The sequence below is a fragment of the Homo sapiens genome, chromosome 3 (genome assembly GCF_000001405.40).
Source record: "Homo sapiens chromosome 3, GRCh38.p14 Primary Assembly".
Classification (NCBI taxonomy): Eukaryota; Metazoa; Chordata; class Mammalia; order Primates; family Hominidae; genus Homo; species Homo sapiens.
The window spans coordinates 7,282,361-7,301,318 of record NC_000003.12 but is presented as its reverse complement, the minus strand read 5'-3'; the positions used below and the strand labels follow the sequence as shown (position 1 = coordinate 7,301,318).

The window sequence follows — 18,958 nt, the reverse complement described above, 5'->3', positions numbered from 1 at the left end:
AATAATGTTGTAAGATAATTTTGTAAGGAGAGAAATAATATATTTAAGGGATGATCAGAATCAGGATCAGTTCTCCGGAACTGGAGAAGGGAATGCTTGAAACAGACCTTGAAGAAGAGACGTAAGTTAGACAGATAGATAACGAGAGAAAAAAACATCGTGAGCAAAGACCATGATGGAGAAGTAATCAGAACAAATCGGAGGATAAGAGTTATGCATTTTGGATGGAGAACTGGATGAATGTAGATGAGGCCTAAACCGTAAAAATGAGACCATATATTGAATCACCAGGAAGTTCAGAAAAAAAAGAAGCTTATTGTTAAATTATTAAATATGAAGCATTAGGTTAGGAATTTCATTCACTTGTTCAACGCCATTTATTGAGCTACTATGTCCTGAGCCCTATAATAGTTATTGACAGTACAAAAGCAAGTCGAAAGAAGCATCATTTCTGCCCTAATTTTACGAACTAGTGAAGAATACAGACATTAATTAAACAATCCAACAATAAAAATGGCACCATTCACATAAACAATGAAACTGAGTGAGTATGAAGAATTTTCCAAAGTGACATTGATCAGAGAAATCTTCCCTGAGAGGACAGCACTAGAGATAGCATTGAGGTGATGAAGCAGGGAAGGAAACATGGGCCAGGGAGGGGGAAAGAATGCATGCAGAATTGGGAGGGAGATCATACCACGGCAGTGTGCCTACAGTAGCAAATCATGAGGGAATTTGGAATAGAATAAGACTAGAAAGGTGAAACAGCCAGATCTCCCGAAAAAGAACTCCGAAGGATGTTCATTTGATTGGTAGGAGACTTGAGGCCCAAAGAACCTGGAAGGCAGTGGGAGGAACTTGCCCAAGGTCAGACAGTGCTCATTATCTAAGAAGCAAGTAATCCTCATTTAAAAATTCAAAACTCTTTCCATTTAATAGCCCTGCCACCACACCTGTGGTCAGAGCTTTATACTAGGAGATGGATGGATTCAGGAGCAGTGTCTAGGATACACAAAGCAGGGAAAGAGACAGGTTTGAGACGCTGGTGGTAAAGACATTGAAAAATCCAAGCAGGAACTTAAGGGCCCAGGCCATTAAACCTTTACCCTGAATAAAAGATTCACCTTCAAAGTCAATGATATATTATTTTGAACTATAAGATAGACAAAGATTTAAAACACACATAAACAGCTCTTTCACATCAATGGAAGTGTAAATTGGCATGACTTCTCTGGGAGACAATATTTATATATTTTTAAGAAGGGACATATTTTTGTCTTAGAAATTTTTTAATAGGAATTTATTTTATAAATATTTATAATATATATAAAAAGTATATTTGCATGTTATGTTTTTATCACATTATAAATTTATACATTGCATAACACATTGTAGATTAACACTTGTCTATTTATATTTATACACACAGATTTGTGCAAAAGGAAGTTAATTACAGCATTATTTATAACTTCAATAGACTGTAATCCAAATTACATGTCAATTAATAAGGGAGCAGTTAGATAAATTACAGTACCTATGTAAAATAAAATTCTGCCTGGCTATTGAATACTGAGTAGAAGTATAGGTACTAATATTCAGTGATCTCCATGATAAAATGATAAATAAAATGCTGAACAGGAATGCACACAACATGCTACCATTTGTGTAAAAACAAGCAGCACATCCCTCTAGCATATATACAGAATATCTCCACAAGGATATACAAGAAACTTTTAATTAGTTATTGTACCTGGAGAGAACTTGTTAGCTATGCGACAAGATGGAGATTGTATGTTTACTTTAAATTTTGTAATCAGGTTTATTTACTGTTTATTCTAAAAATAAAGATTACAAAAATAAATATTCTAAAAATTCTAAAAATAAGGACTCCGGACCAGGTTGGTAGTGATCAGAAAAGAAAGCAACAGACATTTACATTGTGGAAACATGTCAAAGCTTGTTTCTATGTGGCTTGGCCAACAATACAAGGAACCAGGAAAAAAGCAAAGTCAAGATTACAAGCAGATTTTTGAGTCCAAGAAAGATCAAGTTCTGAAAAGAAAAAAGAAAGTGGATTGGAGAATGTAGAGTTAAGACAAGTTTTTGATTTGAACATATTGAAGTTAAAGCACTAGCAATAAAACCAGAATTTTAAGACATTTTTCTTTTACATTAAGAGAACCATTCTTTGGATAAAAATCTGTTATTAATATATTTGGAAAAATTTTTAAATAAAAGCACCTTTAAAAGATCTAGAGTTTTTTTTCTGTTTTTACAAATAATTGAATACATTTATTTTGCTAACAGAGGGAAAACACGTGACCATAACATGCTACCACTGTATGTGTTGGGTAGAGGCAAGCACAGACTTCGCCGCTGTATGATTACAGCTTTGATCTTATGCTATCTTTTCCTGTCTCAGCCAGCAGCCTAATCTTTCTCTCTCCTAAAATTGCAACATGCATATTAACAATTGTCACCAGTTATTCTTACTTTATATCCTCATCGTTGGCAAAAATCACGACGGCCCTGGAGTTGGGGGTGTCCAGGAGCTGTTTGATAATTCTATCAAAGTCAATGGTCCTGTCTTTGCGTTCCTGGGGGATTCTCACGGACTGGGCAATGCAGAGTCCACCTGTTTAAGAGAAGAAAACATAGTGTCAATAATGTTTCCACAGAGATGTCAAAGGAGCCAAGGAAGGTAGATGAGGAGGAGATTCTGAATCCCGGATATGCAATACTTCCTTGATGCTGTTGCTAAGCGAGGACAGCATAAGACACCATGCTGAGTCCTGAGATGTTGTTCATACCTAATGCACTTTCCATGGTATTACACGACATCCTCTTTATAGTACACGTACAAATATCTAATTATTCCCAGCAATACCAATGATATTACTTCAGAGGAGGCAGGTTTAGGTAGGAAGAAAAAGTGGCTGGGTTGAAGAAGGTTTTTAAAATGAATGCAATACCCCTTAATAACACTACAAAAAGTAAACCACAATAAAGAAACTTGAACAGGTAAAGCTCTGTGTATCTCTGTTACTTTTGTGGCGTTTGCATTCCCAGAATTTTTTCCCTTTATACCCATCTCTATTTTTAAAGATCAATTCCAGTGGAATAAGTGGAATAAAACTAAAACCAAGAACATCAACTATACTAAATCATAGCAACAAACACTTATTGACAACATACTATGTGCCTAAGCCATCATTAAGTGTTTTACAGATGTTACCTCATTTAGTCTTCTCAAAAATCTTATAAAGTATTTCGTATTGCTCATTTTATGTTAGGGAAAGGAAGGAATAGAGATATGTTAACTCCAAACTTGTCAGAGCCAGTATAATATTAATTGGCATTATGAATTTCAAGATGGAGAAACATGCATCAGTTTACTAAGCAATGCGTATACATCTTACTTCCCTGCTTCTTGCTTAGCAGCTGCTCCTGGATCTAGCATTTTATGAAACACACTTAAAAGCCAGCATCGATGAAAAGGGTAGAGGAAATATTTGTAGAAAAGTCCTAATGGCCGTCCAAGGGGCACAAGACCCAGGGGCAGAGACAGGTAAAAAACCTTACTCTAATGTGTAATGTGTTTAGGAGATATTTGTAATCAACAAGCTCACACCTAGAACATGGACAACTGGGTGGAAGCTTCTAGACTTCCACAAACATAGACAAATATAAAATCAAATACAAAATTAAGCCTTCATTACACTGGAATCCCAATTAGTGTTAGCTCACTCTAAGTGGCTCTCAACTTTCAGCATGCATGAAATCACCTGTGGTCCTTCTTTAAAATATAAACACCCAACAAAACTATCAATCATCTTGACCTAATTGACAACCCACACAACAGAAATGCATTTATTCTTTTCAAGCACAAATGCAATATTTATTAAGATAGACCATATTTTGAGCCATACAAATAACATTTTTAAAGCATAGAAATAATATAAAGTATTTTCTCAGTATAACAGAATCAAAGTAGAAATCAATGACAGAAAGATAAAAATATCTCCAAACACTTGGAAATTAAACAACACACTACCAAATAACCCATGCATCAAAGAGAAGTGTCAAGGTAAATTTTAAAATATTTTGAGCTAAATATAAATGAAAGTACAATATATCAATATTTGTAAGTTACAGATAAAGCAGTGTTTAGATGGAAACATAGCATTATATGTTTATATTCAAAAAGAAGAAACATCTAAAATCAGCAACGTAAACATTCACTTTAAGAGAAAATTACTGAGTAAATACCAAAAAAAAGCAGAAAGCACATAATAAAAGGTAAAGCAAAAATCAATGAGTTTGAAAACAAATATAATAGAGAAAAACAATGAAATCAAAAGCTGCATGTTTAGCAGAGCATGATTGTGAAAACCTACAGATCCATTACTCAAGAGACTGAGGAGGGAGAGTCACTTAAGCCCACGAGTTGGAGACCAGTCGGGGCAACATAGCAAGATCCCAGCTTTTTTTTTTTTTAAAAAAGCTGTTTTTGAAAATATAAATAAAATTGATATATATGAAATGTAGACTGAGACAAAAAGGGAGAACTAACAAATGACCCTATTTAGGAATGAAAGAAGGGTAACCCTGATGATCTCATGGATATCAAAATATAATATGAGGATATTAGTGATAACTCTACATTAATAAGTTCAGCTATGTAAATGATATGAAAGAATTTCTTGAAAGATACAAAGTACCAAAACTGAATGCATAGTAATCTGAATAGTCTTATGTAAATTAAAAATGCCAAATTGGTCGTTTAAAAATCTTTCAGAAAATAAAGATTCAGGCTCAGATGGTTTAACTGATGAATTCTATCAGTGAATGAATACATAAAACATGATCTACACAATCTCTTCCAGAAAATGGGAGAAGAGAGAACATAACTCATTTTATGAGGTATTACCTAATACCTAAACCAGGAAAAGATATTACCAAACAAAAATAAAATATAGACAATATTACTTGGAACATATTTGCAAATATTCTTAAAAATATGTTAACAAAACAAATCCAGCAACAATTTTTAAAAAGATAATACATTAGGATTGAGTGGGTTTTATTCAAAGAACAAAAGGCTAATTTATTATTTGAAAAATCAATCATTATTATTTACATATTGTCAGACTAAAAAAGAAAAACCATGAGCACCTTAATACATGCAGAGAAAGTACTTAACAAAATTCTCTCTCTCTATATATATATATTTATGATAACAATACTAAACTCTGTAAACTAGAATTAGAAGAGAATTTCCTTAGCCTAATAATAGGCATCTATAAAAAGCCTACAGCTAGCATCACATTTAATAGTAAGAGACCACAAGGCAAGGTTGCCCTATCCTGTTCAATACTGTACTATAAACCCTTGCCAAAATGAGGAGGGGAAAAGAAACAAACTATATACATGTTTCAAAGGAAAAAGTAAAATCAGTTCTATTTACATATGACAGAGAAATCCCCCCCCCAAAAAAAAGCTATCAAAAAATCTCCTAGAATAAGTGCCTTAAACAAGGTTGCAGGATATGAACTCAATAAACAATAGTCGATCATAGGAAGGAACTACTGAATTTTACATTGAAACACAACGCCATTTAATAGTATCACCGAAAAACCAGTCCTGCTTAGGCAACAAAATATGTACAAGGTCTGTGTGCTGAAAACTATAAAACATGGCTAAAATACATTTTTAAACGTGTAAGTAAATTCTTCCCAAATCTATCTATAGATTCAATGCTATCTAGAGCAAACTCTCAGTAAACATTTTATTTTATTTTATTTTTGTAGACCTCAACATCTAACTTAACATTTATATGGAAAGGTAAAGGAAATAGTCAAAACAATTCTGAAAAGTAAGAAAATTAGATATTCACACCACTTAAGTTTAAGACTTACTTTCAAGCTACAGGAATTAAGCAGTGTAATGCTGGTAAAAAGTATAGACTGTTGAATCAAGGGAAGAAAATAGAGGCTCAGAAGTATACCAACACAAATACAGTCAACTGATTGTTGGCTAACATGCAAAGGAACTCAAAGGAAAAAGAATAGTCTTTTCAACAAATGATGCCAAAATAATTGGATTTTCTTATGCAGAAATAATAAATCTTGCCTTATATAGAAATTAACTCTAAATGGATAATACACCCAAGTGTAAAATATAAAGCTAGAAAACTTTTAGAATAAAACAAAGGGAAAATCAATATGACCTTGGGTTTGGCAATGAGTTTTTGAATATAATATCCAAAGTACAATCTATAAAGAAAAACGTGATAAATTGGATTTTATGAAAATTCAAACCTTTTGTTCTGTGAAAGACAGCATTGAGAAAACGAAAGCACAAGCCAGACACTTGGTTAAAAGTATATGTTTGATAAAAGAATGTATCCAGTATATATAAATAACTCTTAAACTCAGCAATAAACACACAAACTTTCAAACAGAAAAGATCTGAATTCACTTACAGAAGAGCTTGTGAAGCACATTTCTGATCCTCACTTCTAGAGATTCTTAGTCAGTTTGTGTAAAGCCTGTGAATTTGTAATTGGAACAGGTTCCCAGGTGATGCTGATGCTGCTAGCTTAGGGCCCACGCTGCTCTAGGTGAAACTGCTGCAGGTGGTCAGATTTTGAGGCATATTCACCTGGGTGTCTCCATATTGGTTGTAGCCTACTCAGGTAGAAGTAGAATTTGTTCAATGATATTCTAGCCAAACATTTTTCTTTTTTTTTTTTAGGGAGCTCTTAGGAAGGTGGCATAGAGAAAAGGAAGGAAAGGGTAAATTATTGTGCTTTGTTATAAAGCTCACAATGGTACAGAGAGCCAGCAACAGACATATCCCTGGGCAATGGCGATGACAGTCTCAATGCCATGATTCCTCCAAGTCTGGAAAGCATTATGGAGGATAGAGGGATGAAACCATCTGCAAACTGTCCTGGGACTCCTGGGGAGAAGAAATGGCTACTTTACCATCTTCTCAGCAACAGAAGGGGTATAATTTTGGATGGAAACCCAGCTTCTCATCAGGATTCAATTACAGCTGAGTGATTAAGCAAATTGGAGCAAACTCCATTTGGCAACATGTCTAGTGGAGGGGCAGTCTGCAAACATGGATTGAGGGCTCACCCGGTGTACACTAGGGGAACGGATGTGTGGAGTTTCATGACTGCAGAATTGAGACGCTCATCCCCTCTTACGGGGAATTGCCCGCAGGTGAGCAAAATTAAACACCTCAACAGAAGAGAGAGATTGGCTATTAACGTGGTAATGGGGATAAACCTGTTCATAAAGCTAAAATGTAAAAATGAAAGAAAACTGGAAAACAGAGAAAGAGAAATAAACATACTGTTTTGATCATCAGTTCTTGGAAGGCTTGAATTGTACCTGCTGGAAAGACAATCCATCCCTTATTTGTCTCAGATCCATAAAAGAATGTGGCAGGTTTAAAATTTCACTTATATTGTAAGTAGATGACTTCAACATAAACATTCAAGCCATACCAAGTGTGTCACTGTGAGACAATAATGATGGTCCCATGTACCTACCAGCAAAAAATGGAATTTTTCATGGCCCACAGACACACACATACCTGGTATTTGAATATCAGTTAGTTTATTTCTCAGTAATGGTGATAATTCAGCACACTACATTCTCCCTCTGACACACGGAAAATCTAATCAGAGTTTGATGCTGCCCGTTGGTATTGCAATTGCCAAATTAATTCACACTTCTGTGGGGAGCGAACAAGTAGGGAGAACTGGAAAGTCTCATCGTAAATGTGGCAACTGAAGAGCCATGACAGATAGGACAACTCCATTCATAGCACCTCAGCTTTCACTGAGAATGTCCGCTGTCAAAGGCTTGAGAGAGTGATACATACAAGAGAGATACATACAAGCCACTGAAGTAACGAAAAGAATTTCAGAGTCCCAGAAATCAATCTGCTTCTTGATTTAGAGCTGAAAACTGGTCAGTTTTCTGTCTGCGCATGGTAGCTAGCAATCTTTAGCAACAAGAAGAATCTCAGGAATCACACCACAGATGCTTTCCAATAAAATACTTTTATCTCCCAAATGATTATGAATTATTTTTAATCTAATAAGCAGAAACAACAGAAAACAGTTTAAAGCCTGAAACTCAATCCCGAGAGAGCTGATACACAATGCAGCTCTATTGATGATTCTATTATTTAGATATGCCAATTTTATTTAGCAAATATTTATTGAGACTATTATAAGAAAAGCTCAATTTTTTTTTTTTTTTTTGAGACCAAGTCTCGCTCTTGTCCCCCAGGCTGCAGTGCGATGGTGCAATCTCATCTCACTGCAACCTCCGCCTCCTGGGTTCAAGCAATTCTCCTGCCTTGGCCCCCCGAGCAACTGGGATTACAGGCACACACCACCACGCCCGGCTAATTTTTGTATTTTTAGTAGAGATGGGGGGTTTCACTATGTTGGCCAGGCTGGTCTAGAACTCCTGACCTCAGGTGATCTGCCCACCTCAGCCTCCCAAAAGTGCTGGGATTACAGGCGTGAGCCACCGCGTCCAGCCTCAATGGTTTGTTTTTTTTTTTAAAAAAAAAAGAAATAATATATGTAAGCAGTAGAAGAAGCCTTAGAATACCCACATCCAATTCTCCATTACACATGGAGAAACTGAGATCCAAAGAGTTTCACAGAGATAATATTCATCATAGTTGAAGGACTGGGTCTCATGAGTTCTGTCTACATGTTGATGCTATTCTAAGTACTGCTTATCTATTAACACATTCAATGATTACAGCACCTCATGAGTCAGGAGAAAAACAGAGGCATTCTGAAGTTAAATAACTCACCCCAAATCACAACTTGAATGGCAGAGTAGTACTGAGGTTTTCATCTTTCAATACTTTAAGCTAAATGACAAGATAGTTATCTGTCCTCACATACTCCACAGATTAAGAGGAGAAGAGGATACATATTATAAAAGGAGATAAAGGTACATACAACACGTCTTGTTAGAGGAATCATCAAAGGTTTTATAAAAGAAATTCAATTTCAAATGAGATGTTAAATGTCTGTGAAAGGAAGGATACTTAATGGAGGCAACAGAGGGGTCAACTTTAAAAGGTCAAGGTCATTGTGAATAAGACTGTCCAACCCTCCTGTATTAGTGTGTTTTCATGCTGCTGACAAAAACATACCCAAGGTTGGGTAATTTATAAAGAAAAAGAGCTTTAATGAACTCACAGTTCCACATGGCTGTGGAGGCCTCACGATCATGGCAGAAGGCAGAAAGCACATATTACATGGCAGCACACAAGAGTGAAAATGAGAACCAAGCGAAATGGGTTTCCCTTTAAAAACCATCAGATCTCCTGAGACTTATTCACCACCATGAGAACAGTATGGGGGAACTGCCCCCATGATTCAGTTATCTCCCACTGGGCCCCTCCCACAACATGTGGGAATTATGGGAGCTACAATTCAAGAGGAGATTTGGGTGGGAACACAGCCAAACCATATCACCTCCATTCCCTCTCCCATCTTTGCTGATAGATTTCTGGTTTTAGGGTGGTGAGGTATCCAGTCCCATACAACCACTCACCACTGATCACAGTCAAAAGGGGTCAAGTGTGTTTCCCAATCTCCCAGCCTCTTTTCAAGTACAAATAATCACGTGACACACAAAACAGGCAGAAATCCCCTGAAGTCAGTTCTGGGAAAAGTTTTACTCCCTTGGTAAAAATAGACAGACGGAGGGATTGAGAGAGAGAGAGAGAGAGAGAGAGAGAGAGAGAGAGAGAGAGAGAGAGAGAGAGAGAGAGAGAGCTGGCATGACTTTTCCTCTAACCCTGTCTGTACTGTGATGTCTGCACTATTACTGTCCTCTTGGCACCACTAGGCCACAGCAAAAGGATGACCTACTCCTTAAAAGTGGTAAACCAGAAAAAGAGAGAGAACCAGAGTCCCTGATGTCATGCATCACTGAGCAGAATAAATACTGTTAGCACCCACCTACTTTCTGATATGGGAGAAAATGAAACACCTTTTCGTGTCAGCTCGCGGCAGTCAGTTTTCTCTTATTTGCAACTGTACATTGTCCTAAATGATCTTTGCCTCAAAACATTCCAAGCTCAGTATAGAAGGACGAGAAAATTCCTGAATATTAAAAAAAAAAAAGTCAAGAAAATTACAAAGCTAAAGAGTCCCAAGGAATCACTGCTGCAGTGAGGATGCTGGGAAGAGGGTGTGGCTGGCACCTGCATGGATTTGTGGACAAGATTGTTAGGTGAGAGAGGGAGACAGAGTGGAACAGTGTAAATGGCCACAAAGAAACTGGAACAGCACCTGGGGGTGGGGAGGGGTGGACAAAGATTTTGGTGATAGAGGTACTGAGAGTTAAGATACAGGGTTCTTGATCTTTCTTAGCCTCTAGCTCTCTGCGTGATCTTTGACACATCCATACCCCTTTCTAGATTGCCAAGGGAGAGAGAGGAAAGAAAGAAGGTAGGAAGCAAGGACAGATGAACACCCCCAGAAGTTTTCAGCAGCCAGAATGTAGAGAGCATTTTGGGGAACATGGAGAGATAAGCATGGTTGCAGTAAAGTGTAATAAATAGCAGAGGTTATGCTGCTGGGGTTGGGGTGGAAGTACACAAGACTTCCTAAGACAAACCACAGGAAACTGAATGCTTAGATAAAAAATTCTCTGTCCCCTGCCAGTGAGGACCACACCTCTCATTCTGAGCAGAATGCAAGTGCTATCTGCACATGCTAATGAGGTGTGAATCCATCATATCTTTCAGCCAAGAAATGTTGAACAGCAAGTCTCTATAAAATGTATTCAGGAATTTTATCATTTTATCTCAGGCACTATTTTGCCTGAGAAACATTTGCATTATACTTTGGGACATGTTGAGGTTTAAAGCAATCTTGGACAAAGCTATATGCATGCTAGCTGACTTAACCTTAAAATCTAGGAACTAAAAGAATACTTAGAACAACGCTTCCATTTTGCAGATGGTGAAATTGTTCCAGAAAGGGGAAATGATTGAGCAACTCTGCATCAGAGCTGAGGCTGCCATTAAGTTTGATTGATTTCTGATGTCATACTCCTTTACTTTGTGTTGATACTTTGTGAGTTACTTTCTTTGCCATTTTTAGATTCATGTATTCATTTAAAAAATATTTATTAAGCAACTTTCATATTTCAGGCATTCTTTTAGTTGCTGTGAGGGGGATATAGAAATTAACATAAAATACTAATAAGATAACTTTTCTTTTTTTATTTTTATTTTTATTTTATTTTTTATTATACTTTAAGTTCTAGGGTACATGTGCACAACGTGCAGGTTTGGTACATATGTATACATGTGCCATGTTGGTGTGCTGCACCCATTAACTCATCATTTACATTAGGTATTTCTCCTAATGCTATCCCTCTCCCCTCCCCCCACCCCACAACAGGCCATGGTGTGTGATGTTCCCCTTCCTGTGTCCATGTGTTCTCATTGTTCAATTCCCACCTATAAGTGAGAACATGTGGTGTTTGTTTTTTTGTCCCTGTGATAGTTTGCTGAGAATGATGGTTTCCAGTTTCATCCATGTCCCTACAAAGGACATGAACTCATTCTTTTTGATGGCTGCATAGTATTCCATGGTGTATATGTGCCACATTTTCTTAATCCAGTCTATCATTGATGGACATTTGGGTTGGTTCCAAGTCTTTGTTGTTGTGAATAGTGCCGCAATAAACATATATGTGCATGTGTCTTTATAGCAGCATGATTTATAATCCTTTGGGTATATACCCAGTAATGGGATGGCTGGGTCAAATGGTATTTCTAGTTCTAGATTCCTGAGGAATCACCACACTGTTTTCCACAATGGTTGAACCAGTTTACTTTTCTTTTTAATTCCCTTTCAAGACTACAATGACCTCTGCAAATGACCTAAGCTTAGATGACAAACAAAATCCCAATAAGAAACATCACGTTCTTTTCAACAGCTGGTATCTTGGCAGGTCATGAGCTGGTTACTCAAGTTTGTGCTCTAATTCAAGAAGTCTTTGCAAAGCAAGCTGTTCCTTTCCCTGAACAAGAACTAAAAATTGGTTGAATTTTACAGTCACTGGTTTTCCCTGTGATTTGAACAGGCTTGGCAGTCAGAATCAATTGTCACTGGTCTCCAAGCAGATTCTCTGTAAAAATGTCCCACTGTGCATCCTTGGACAATAAAAAGGAGGTCAATTCATGAGGTTAAAACATGGCAGGTATTTACAAGTGACGGTTCTCATTTCTTCAGTCTTACCTGCATGTATATGGGGAAAAAAGCAGGCATTTTTATCATTCATTTTAAGTCATGAAAATTAGAGGATGATAGGATAACATGTCCATGTGGGATCCATCCAGAAAACTTCAAATCAGTGGGATTTTAGAGCAGGCATATATATACGCTATTTCATTACACTTCTAAGACAGTGGTTCTCGGGATATTATCAGACCTTTGTGAATTATCTAGTAACTGGTGTGTACATTTCTTACAGTACTATACCACAGTAGTTTTAAAAATCATCTATATACTACTACTTTCCATTAATAATTTAATAAGTACTTGTGTCATTCTTCATTGCTTCTTTCACTAAAGTCACATCTCTCCCCAATAATAACTGCTTTTATTGGTTCCAAAGCATTTTTAATGCCTCCATTCTTATTTGAACACTGCCACGTAATGCCAGAGATAGACAGAAGTGGGGGTATGGGTCCACTTTACGGATGAGAAGACTGGAGCTTGGAACACAGATTTGTCCAATGCTACAGAGCCAAACGCAGGACCAGGGCAAAAATTGAGAAACATGACCCTCATCTAGAGCTAGGTTCCTACCAGTTCTTATAAATTCTGATATGATTTCCTTCACTTCCTACCCCTCGCTCTTTCCTGCATCACATTCCTATCAATGAGTCAATAAAACAGAATAAACGGAAAGCTTGTAACTCCAGTGTGGTATTCTAGGCTATCAAAGTCATCTAAATGGTAAAAAAAAAATTTAACTCCTTTGTAATAGCATCTTTTCATGTGGTGAATTAGTGCCAGATATTTTACCCCAACTCATCCAGTGAAACAAATACATCTTCCTTTGTATATCCTTAAAGGAGAAGGATTGAGTCTTCATCCTGTCAGTAGGAATGGGCATAACATATATTCAGATCTCTAGTCTTGTTACGTATGGTAAATGTAATGTTTAAATACACAGAATTTAACTTTGTAAATAAATATAAAGAAAACATTACTGTCATATGATTATAATATCAATTTGGATAACAGCTTGCCACATTAGATATCAAAATTAGAGTTATAAAACCTGATTAGTCTTCATTGAATTAGGGACCTCTGCATGCTAAATGATAAATTGAGCTTTAAGAATTGTGCTATTTTTCAGCATCTTTATCTGCAGCTCTTTTTCCTCTTACCTTTAGTGTCTCTGCTAAGATACATTAGTCCCGCAGCAAACTATTACCTCTCTTAAGACTTGAAAGAGTACACCTATCAATTAGAGCAATTTTTTTTTAAATTTGAGATTTATCATTGTTAAGGAAACCTTGCTATTTATCGGTATGTATGTCCCAACGCAAATAAGTGGAAACAAATAAATCCAGCTTTTAGTGGCTTAAAAAAATGTGTCACTCTCATCATTTTTCAGAAAGTCCAGAGAAAATTATTCCCCTTCTTACTCAGGAGTGAAATATTTAAGACTTTTATCAGCTATGCTTCTTAAGTACAACAGGTAAACAAAGATGCTAGTTAACATCACATTCTTCACCTCTGGGATCAAAGCAGATGACTTTGGGTAAATGCTTCCCAAGTCCCAGAAGATCGACTGAGTTGTTAACAATAGAGGGCAAAGAGTTCATTGAGTTTTCTAAGCGTATGAGATAAAACAAGACATTTGAAGCAGATTTCTCCAGCTTCCAATTTACTGGCCTTCTCTTGAAGTCTTGCTCATCCTCTTTCTGTTTTCTTTAGAGAATTCCAACAGAAGTCAAGTCACAAAAGGGGCTACCAAGCTTAAGAATTCAATACTTAGGTTCTTAGATCACACCTGAGAGTTTGAAAGATTTTTCTGCAGTAAATATCTCCAGATGACGTTAGTATACTTATTTGCAAAATAGATGTGAGCTTACTGGCAGAATTATTCTGAAAATAGCTTTCTTTATCTCTATCTATGGGATCAACCATGCCAGTTTTTGGGGGTGGAAGGGGAGCAATTTTTCTGTCCAGGAATCAGGAAACAGATTCAGCTCCAGCCATCGCCCAAGTAATTTACCCCAAACTGTGCCTGATAAAGCCAAAGTCCTATCTAAGATGATGCTAACTGTTCATTTTAAGCCAATGTAACATTATTTTTGCCACAGGATTTGCAAATATATTTGTCTTTTGTGGCATATTCAATGATATTGTGTTTTGATAATAGACATGAAAGATTTTTCATTCTCCAAAACAGAGTGTACTCAAAAGAGGAATAAATAAAATCATACCTTTAATGACCTCAATATAAATTTGATCAACCATTTGCAACAGTCTTGAAAGAAGAGAGGAAGAGACATGCATGCAGAGATCCTTAAATTCTAGAAAGAGACACAAGTGATTGAATAAAACATGACCAGTTTTTAAGGCCTTATGTTTGGGGTCACAAAAAAATTCAGAAAGAAAGAATAAGGGAGGATAAGACATTATTTTCACCTCTGTCATTACATATTCAAAGGGTTATTGAAATTTAGTAAATGAAATAAAAATTAATGAGAAGGCTATGTTCTATGCATAAAAATAAAACCAAAGCTTTTGAAGTAGCTGAATCCGCAAATCATTTGCTCCTGATAAACAGCATTTCACATTAGCATCAGAGCAATACCCACAAGAAAAGAATGTGAGAGGTGAATATTTGTGGATATCATATAATTTCTCTCCAGAGTATAACAAGTCAGAAATTACATGAAGCTCAGGTTTACCAACTGGCCCGACAAATACCAAATTACATTTTGAAATGTAATTCCTCAAAACTGTATGTTAAATGTTTAATGCAAAATATTAAGAAAAACATGTAATCTTGTAACAATGAATATGGGTTTTAATTTAGGTTACACTAAGCAATCACCTTTATGATTATGAGTTTTGAGCATTAAGCTAGCTCTGGCAAATTTCCTTCCCATGAGGGGAAAGTACAGGTTTCTTCTCATTCAAATATCTTAATTAGAGACTAGGATCATAGCTGGGTTGCTACCTATTTGACAATGCTGTGAGTTAAAGAAATCAAAGGAATGCACACAATCATCCAGATTTAAAGTGATTTGCTATATTCATATGTGGTGTGTGGACTCAACCCACATTATCTGCTAATGATGCCCCATGAACTTAAGCTCCAAAAACTCTATCCACTCACATTAAAATCACGTTGGGCTTCAGAAATTAAGAGATAAATTAGAAGGAAAAAAATCATAAATAAATATGATAAGTAGAACAGTGGAAAGGCATAAAGAACCAAGAACCTTCTTTTCCTCTCAGATCAAGGTTAGAGGTTACTTACCAATAGACAATTGGCATCACAGTGCCACCAAGAGGGCAAAAAACTATTTGGTAGGTAGAGGCATCCTAGAACGCACACATTCTGGCCTGGCCCTCAAGGAATAGAAGAGTTTCTATGGATGTTGAGAGTCTACATACACTGTAACATGCAACATTTTATCCCCAGTCTGGAGTTCCTCTGTTACCTGTACTTTTTGGACAACCACCCCTTATAATTTATCATTTTGCGCTCTCAAAAGAGAAGGCACACTAATTTGGGAGGTTTACTACGTATTAGGCCCTATTTGATTGTCATGTATGATCTTCATTCAATAAAACACACGATAACAACACAGGTTTGATTGGAGACACACTGGGATGGAGGTGGTTAGAATGATCAGGCAATAAACGGTGCACTGTCTGTAGGGGGTTTTAAAAAGAAATAACTAAAAGCCATCTGCCTTTTATCTTAATCATATAATAATAATTCTAAACAACATCAGGGAAAAAATACTATTCTTCTAAAAATCTTTTGTTGGTCTAAGTTAGGAGTCAGCAAACTTTTTCTGTAAAGTGGTAGGTAGTGAATATTTGAGACTTTGCAGTCTATGGGCTCTTTCACAGCTACTGAACTCTGTTGTAGCCCAAATCTGCCAACTGCCCTTGACAACACAGAAGCAAATGGTCATTTCAAAAAAATAAAATTTACAATGATAAGCAGCTGGACAAATGTAACCTGCTGGTCAAAGTTTGCTCATTTCTAATATAAGTTCTAAATAACTGCTGCAGTAACTATTAAGTTTTAGTAATATATGCATAAGCTTCAAATTAGCATCATTTTTATTGGGTATCCTTTAATAAGCATTATATTTTATAGGGAAGTGAACTCAGAGAACTCCAAAATGTTTCATTTCATGATTATTATTGAAAATACTTTTGTAATATAGAGGGGGGAGGTGATATAAAATGACTTTAGTTCATAGTATGCCCCTAAGTAAACAATAGTTTTGTTATATAAATGAACATAGGAAAGTGAAAAATGATTTGCCCAAGACCAAGCAGTAGATAAATTAAGCCTAATTTCAAAACTAGTTTTAATAATAAAATAAAAATATTTAACTCCCTCATGATAAACAAAATATAACAATAGTCATGGCTTGGAGTAAACCCGAATCAGAGAATGAAAATTTAGCCTTAGGTTTCTTACCCAGTGCTCTACTGAATGTTGATTAAATCTACATTGCGATAAAGAGGCAAGATAAATTTATAATTCATCCCATCTAAATTTCCCAAACTATTAATAGATCTCTCCATTCATAGCAGATGACATATTTCATCCTATTCATTATGTGATATTCTGTTGACATTTTGAATTGATCTATTTATCTTGATTGTTAGTATTGATTGTCTGTACTAGTGTGCAGATCCAAGAGAGCTCATGTATATACACACACACACACACACACACACACACGAGTGAGCATGCACACCCCACACACCCCTAACTCCTGAAGCCAAACACTCTGGTACTTTGGTAATCAGCATTTGTAACTACACATGTATCTGTGATTATGAGTATTGTGATTTCTACTTAGCTAATTAAATCTGAAAAATTAGTGTGTTTCTCTCAATTTCCTTCAAACCTTATTTTTCTATCACAATTTAATTGAGTTATTAGGCTGCAATTGAGACAAATTAAGATTCTTGATGATGTTTTCCTCTCTCAGTAAAGATATTGACACTGCTGTTCCAGTTATATTTGAACTGTCACTTTGCAAAGTTATAGACAGCACTTTTAATTAAAACACCTAATCTTCTGAATTGGTTTGACATATATGTTGTTTGAATCAGCTTTCAAATGAAATTGGATTTATTAGAATTTTAAAATAAAATGTCGGGCCAGAAACCCCATTTATTTTCTTTTTAAATGCCTGCTTAAGTGTTTTATGTATGTCAATAATTCTTCTTTGTGAATTTTTTAACTGCCCGTAAAGTCCATGTGTAGAACTTCAAAGAATTTTTCAATGATTTGGCTCAAGTAGGAAATAATTGTGTAGTGATTCCTCTGAAATGATATTCTTGATGAAAGTATTTTTGTGCTGTATAATGCCTCCAAAGTCTTTAAATTCAACTCTTCTTTATCCAATCAAAACCCCCTCCAAATCTTTCTCCTTGGTTTACATTGAACGGAAAATCTTAACTTATAATTCTTTCAATTGTTTAGTGTCTATTTCAAAAGCAGTCTTTCATATCCATTAAATCAACATTCCCATGAGAGGTCTTATCTTTTTATACTATTTGTGTGTCTGAACGGAACTTTGGTACTTGCAGTTATTTTTAATAATAATAATAATAATAACAGCAACCTCAATCAAAACCTTTAATGAGCATTTAGCATGCCAGGCTTTGCATCAGCTACTTTATACGCATTATCTAACTTAAACTCACAAAAATGTTTACAAGGTTGAAACTACTCTTGCCTTCATTTTAAGGATGAGAAAACCCAAGCACGAGGAGGTTAAATACCTTTCTCTCTGAGTCACACAGCTGGGAAGTGTCCAGTGCCAGCATTCTAACCTAGACTGTCTGACTCTAGACCCATGGTCTTCACCATTCCCTACAACTCAGAACTTCGAAACTAATGTTAGAGAGATTAAAATCGAGGTCATGTCACTAGCAAGCAGTAGACTCAAGATGTGAAAATAGGTTTCCCAATAAACCAAGCAGAACTGAAATAGAAGAGTAATCTCATCTGCCTAAATTAAAGTTACTTACTATTAGGCCCAGTGATAAAAACTTAGTCCTAAATCTCGAAGCCGAGGGCTCCACTGTTGGTTAATCCTTGGATAGAATGGAAAGGATAAATGTAAATTCCTCTGGTCCACATTTTTCAAATGAGTTCCTCTCTTCTGGGAGATCTTAATAAAAGGGTACTGCAATCTAACACATTTGGGGAACATCCCACGGTATATATCACTGCAGATGTTTCATAATACAGCTTTAATATATTAAACATTTTGAGAAGCACTGCAAAAAAAACACAATCTTAATTAGGTCTAATCAACATTACCTACATTTGTTAAGTCACAGATCCTATTTGTGGTAGGCAGAATAATGGCACCCTAATGATGCCCACTCCTTACTCCTCAGAATCTATAAGTGTGTTACCTTACATGACAAAGGGGAAATAAGGTTGCAAATGAAATTAAGGTTGCTAATCACCCTACTTTGACATGTGAGAGTATTCTGGATGATCTAGTGATGACAAGTGTCATTACAAGTGAGAGAGAAGCAAGAGGGTCAGAATCAGAGAGACAGATTTGAAGATGCTGCACTGCCAGGTTTGTGGATAGGCGAGAGCCATGAGCCAAGGCATGGCAGCAGCCTCTACAATCTGGA

General features: G+C 36.1%; 1 protein-coding gene across 7 annotated transcripts in view, besides 1 other annotated feature; it reads right to left on the bottom strand.

The window, feature by feature from the left end:
- GRM7 (glutamate metabotropic receptor 7) overlaps positions 1 to 18,958 on the bottom strand; it is an 880,419-nt gene that overhangs the window by 440,215 nt on the left and 421,246 nt on the right. For all 7 annotated transcript variants that reach the window (XR_001740135.3, NM_181874.3, NM_000844.4 and 4 more), the window contains exon 3: positions 2,494 to 2,635. Coding sequence is in view for 6 of the 7 variants with exons in the window: in NM_181874.3 (NP_870989.1) it covers positions 2,494 to 2,635 (142 nt within the window). In the remaining variant the exon portion in view is untranslated. The remainder of the gene's footprint in view (positions 1 to 2,493; positions 2,636 to 18,958) is intronic.
- Positions 12,405 to 12,574: an enhancer, noted in NCBI's record as "experimental_71094 CRE fragment used in MPRA reporter constructs". NCBI's record gives its function as "activates a minimal promoter by MPRAs in K562 erythroleukemia cells, with activity observed for the non-introgressed 3:7330517 variant allele {active_cell/tissue: K562}" and the evidence as "EXISTENCE:reporter gene assay evidence [ECO:0000049][PMID:34662402]".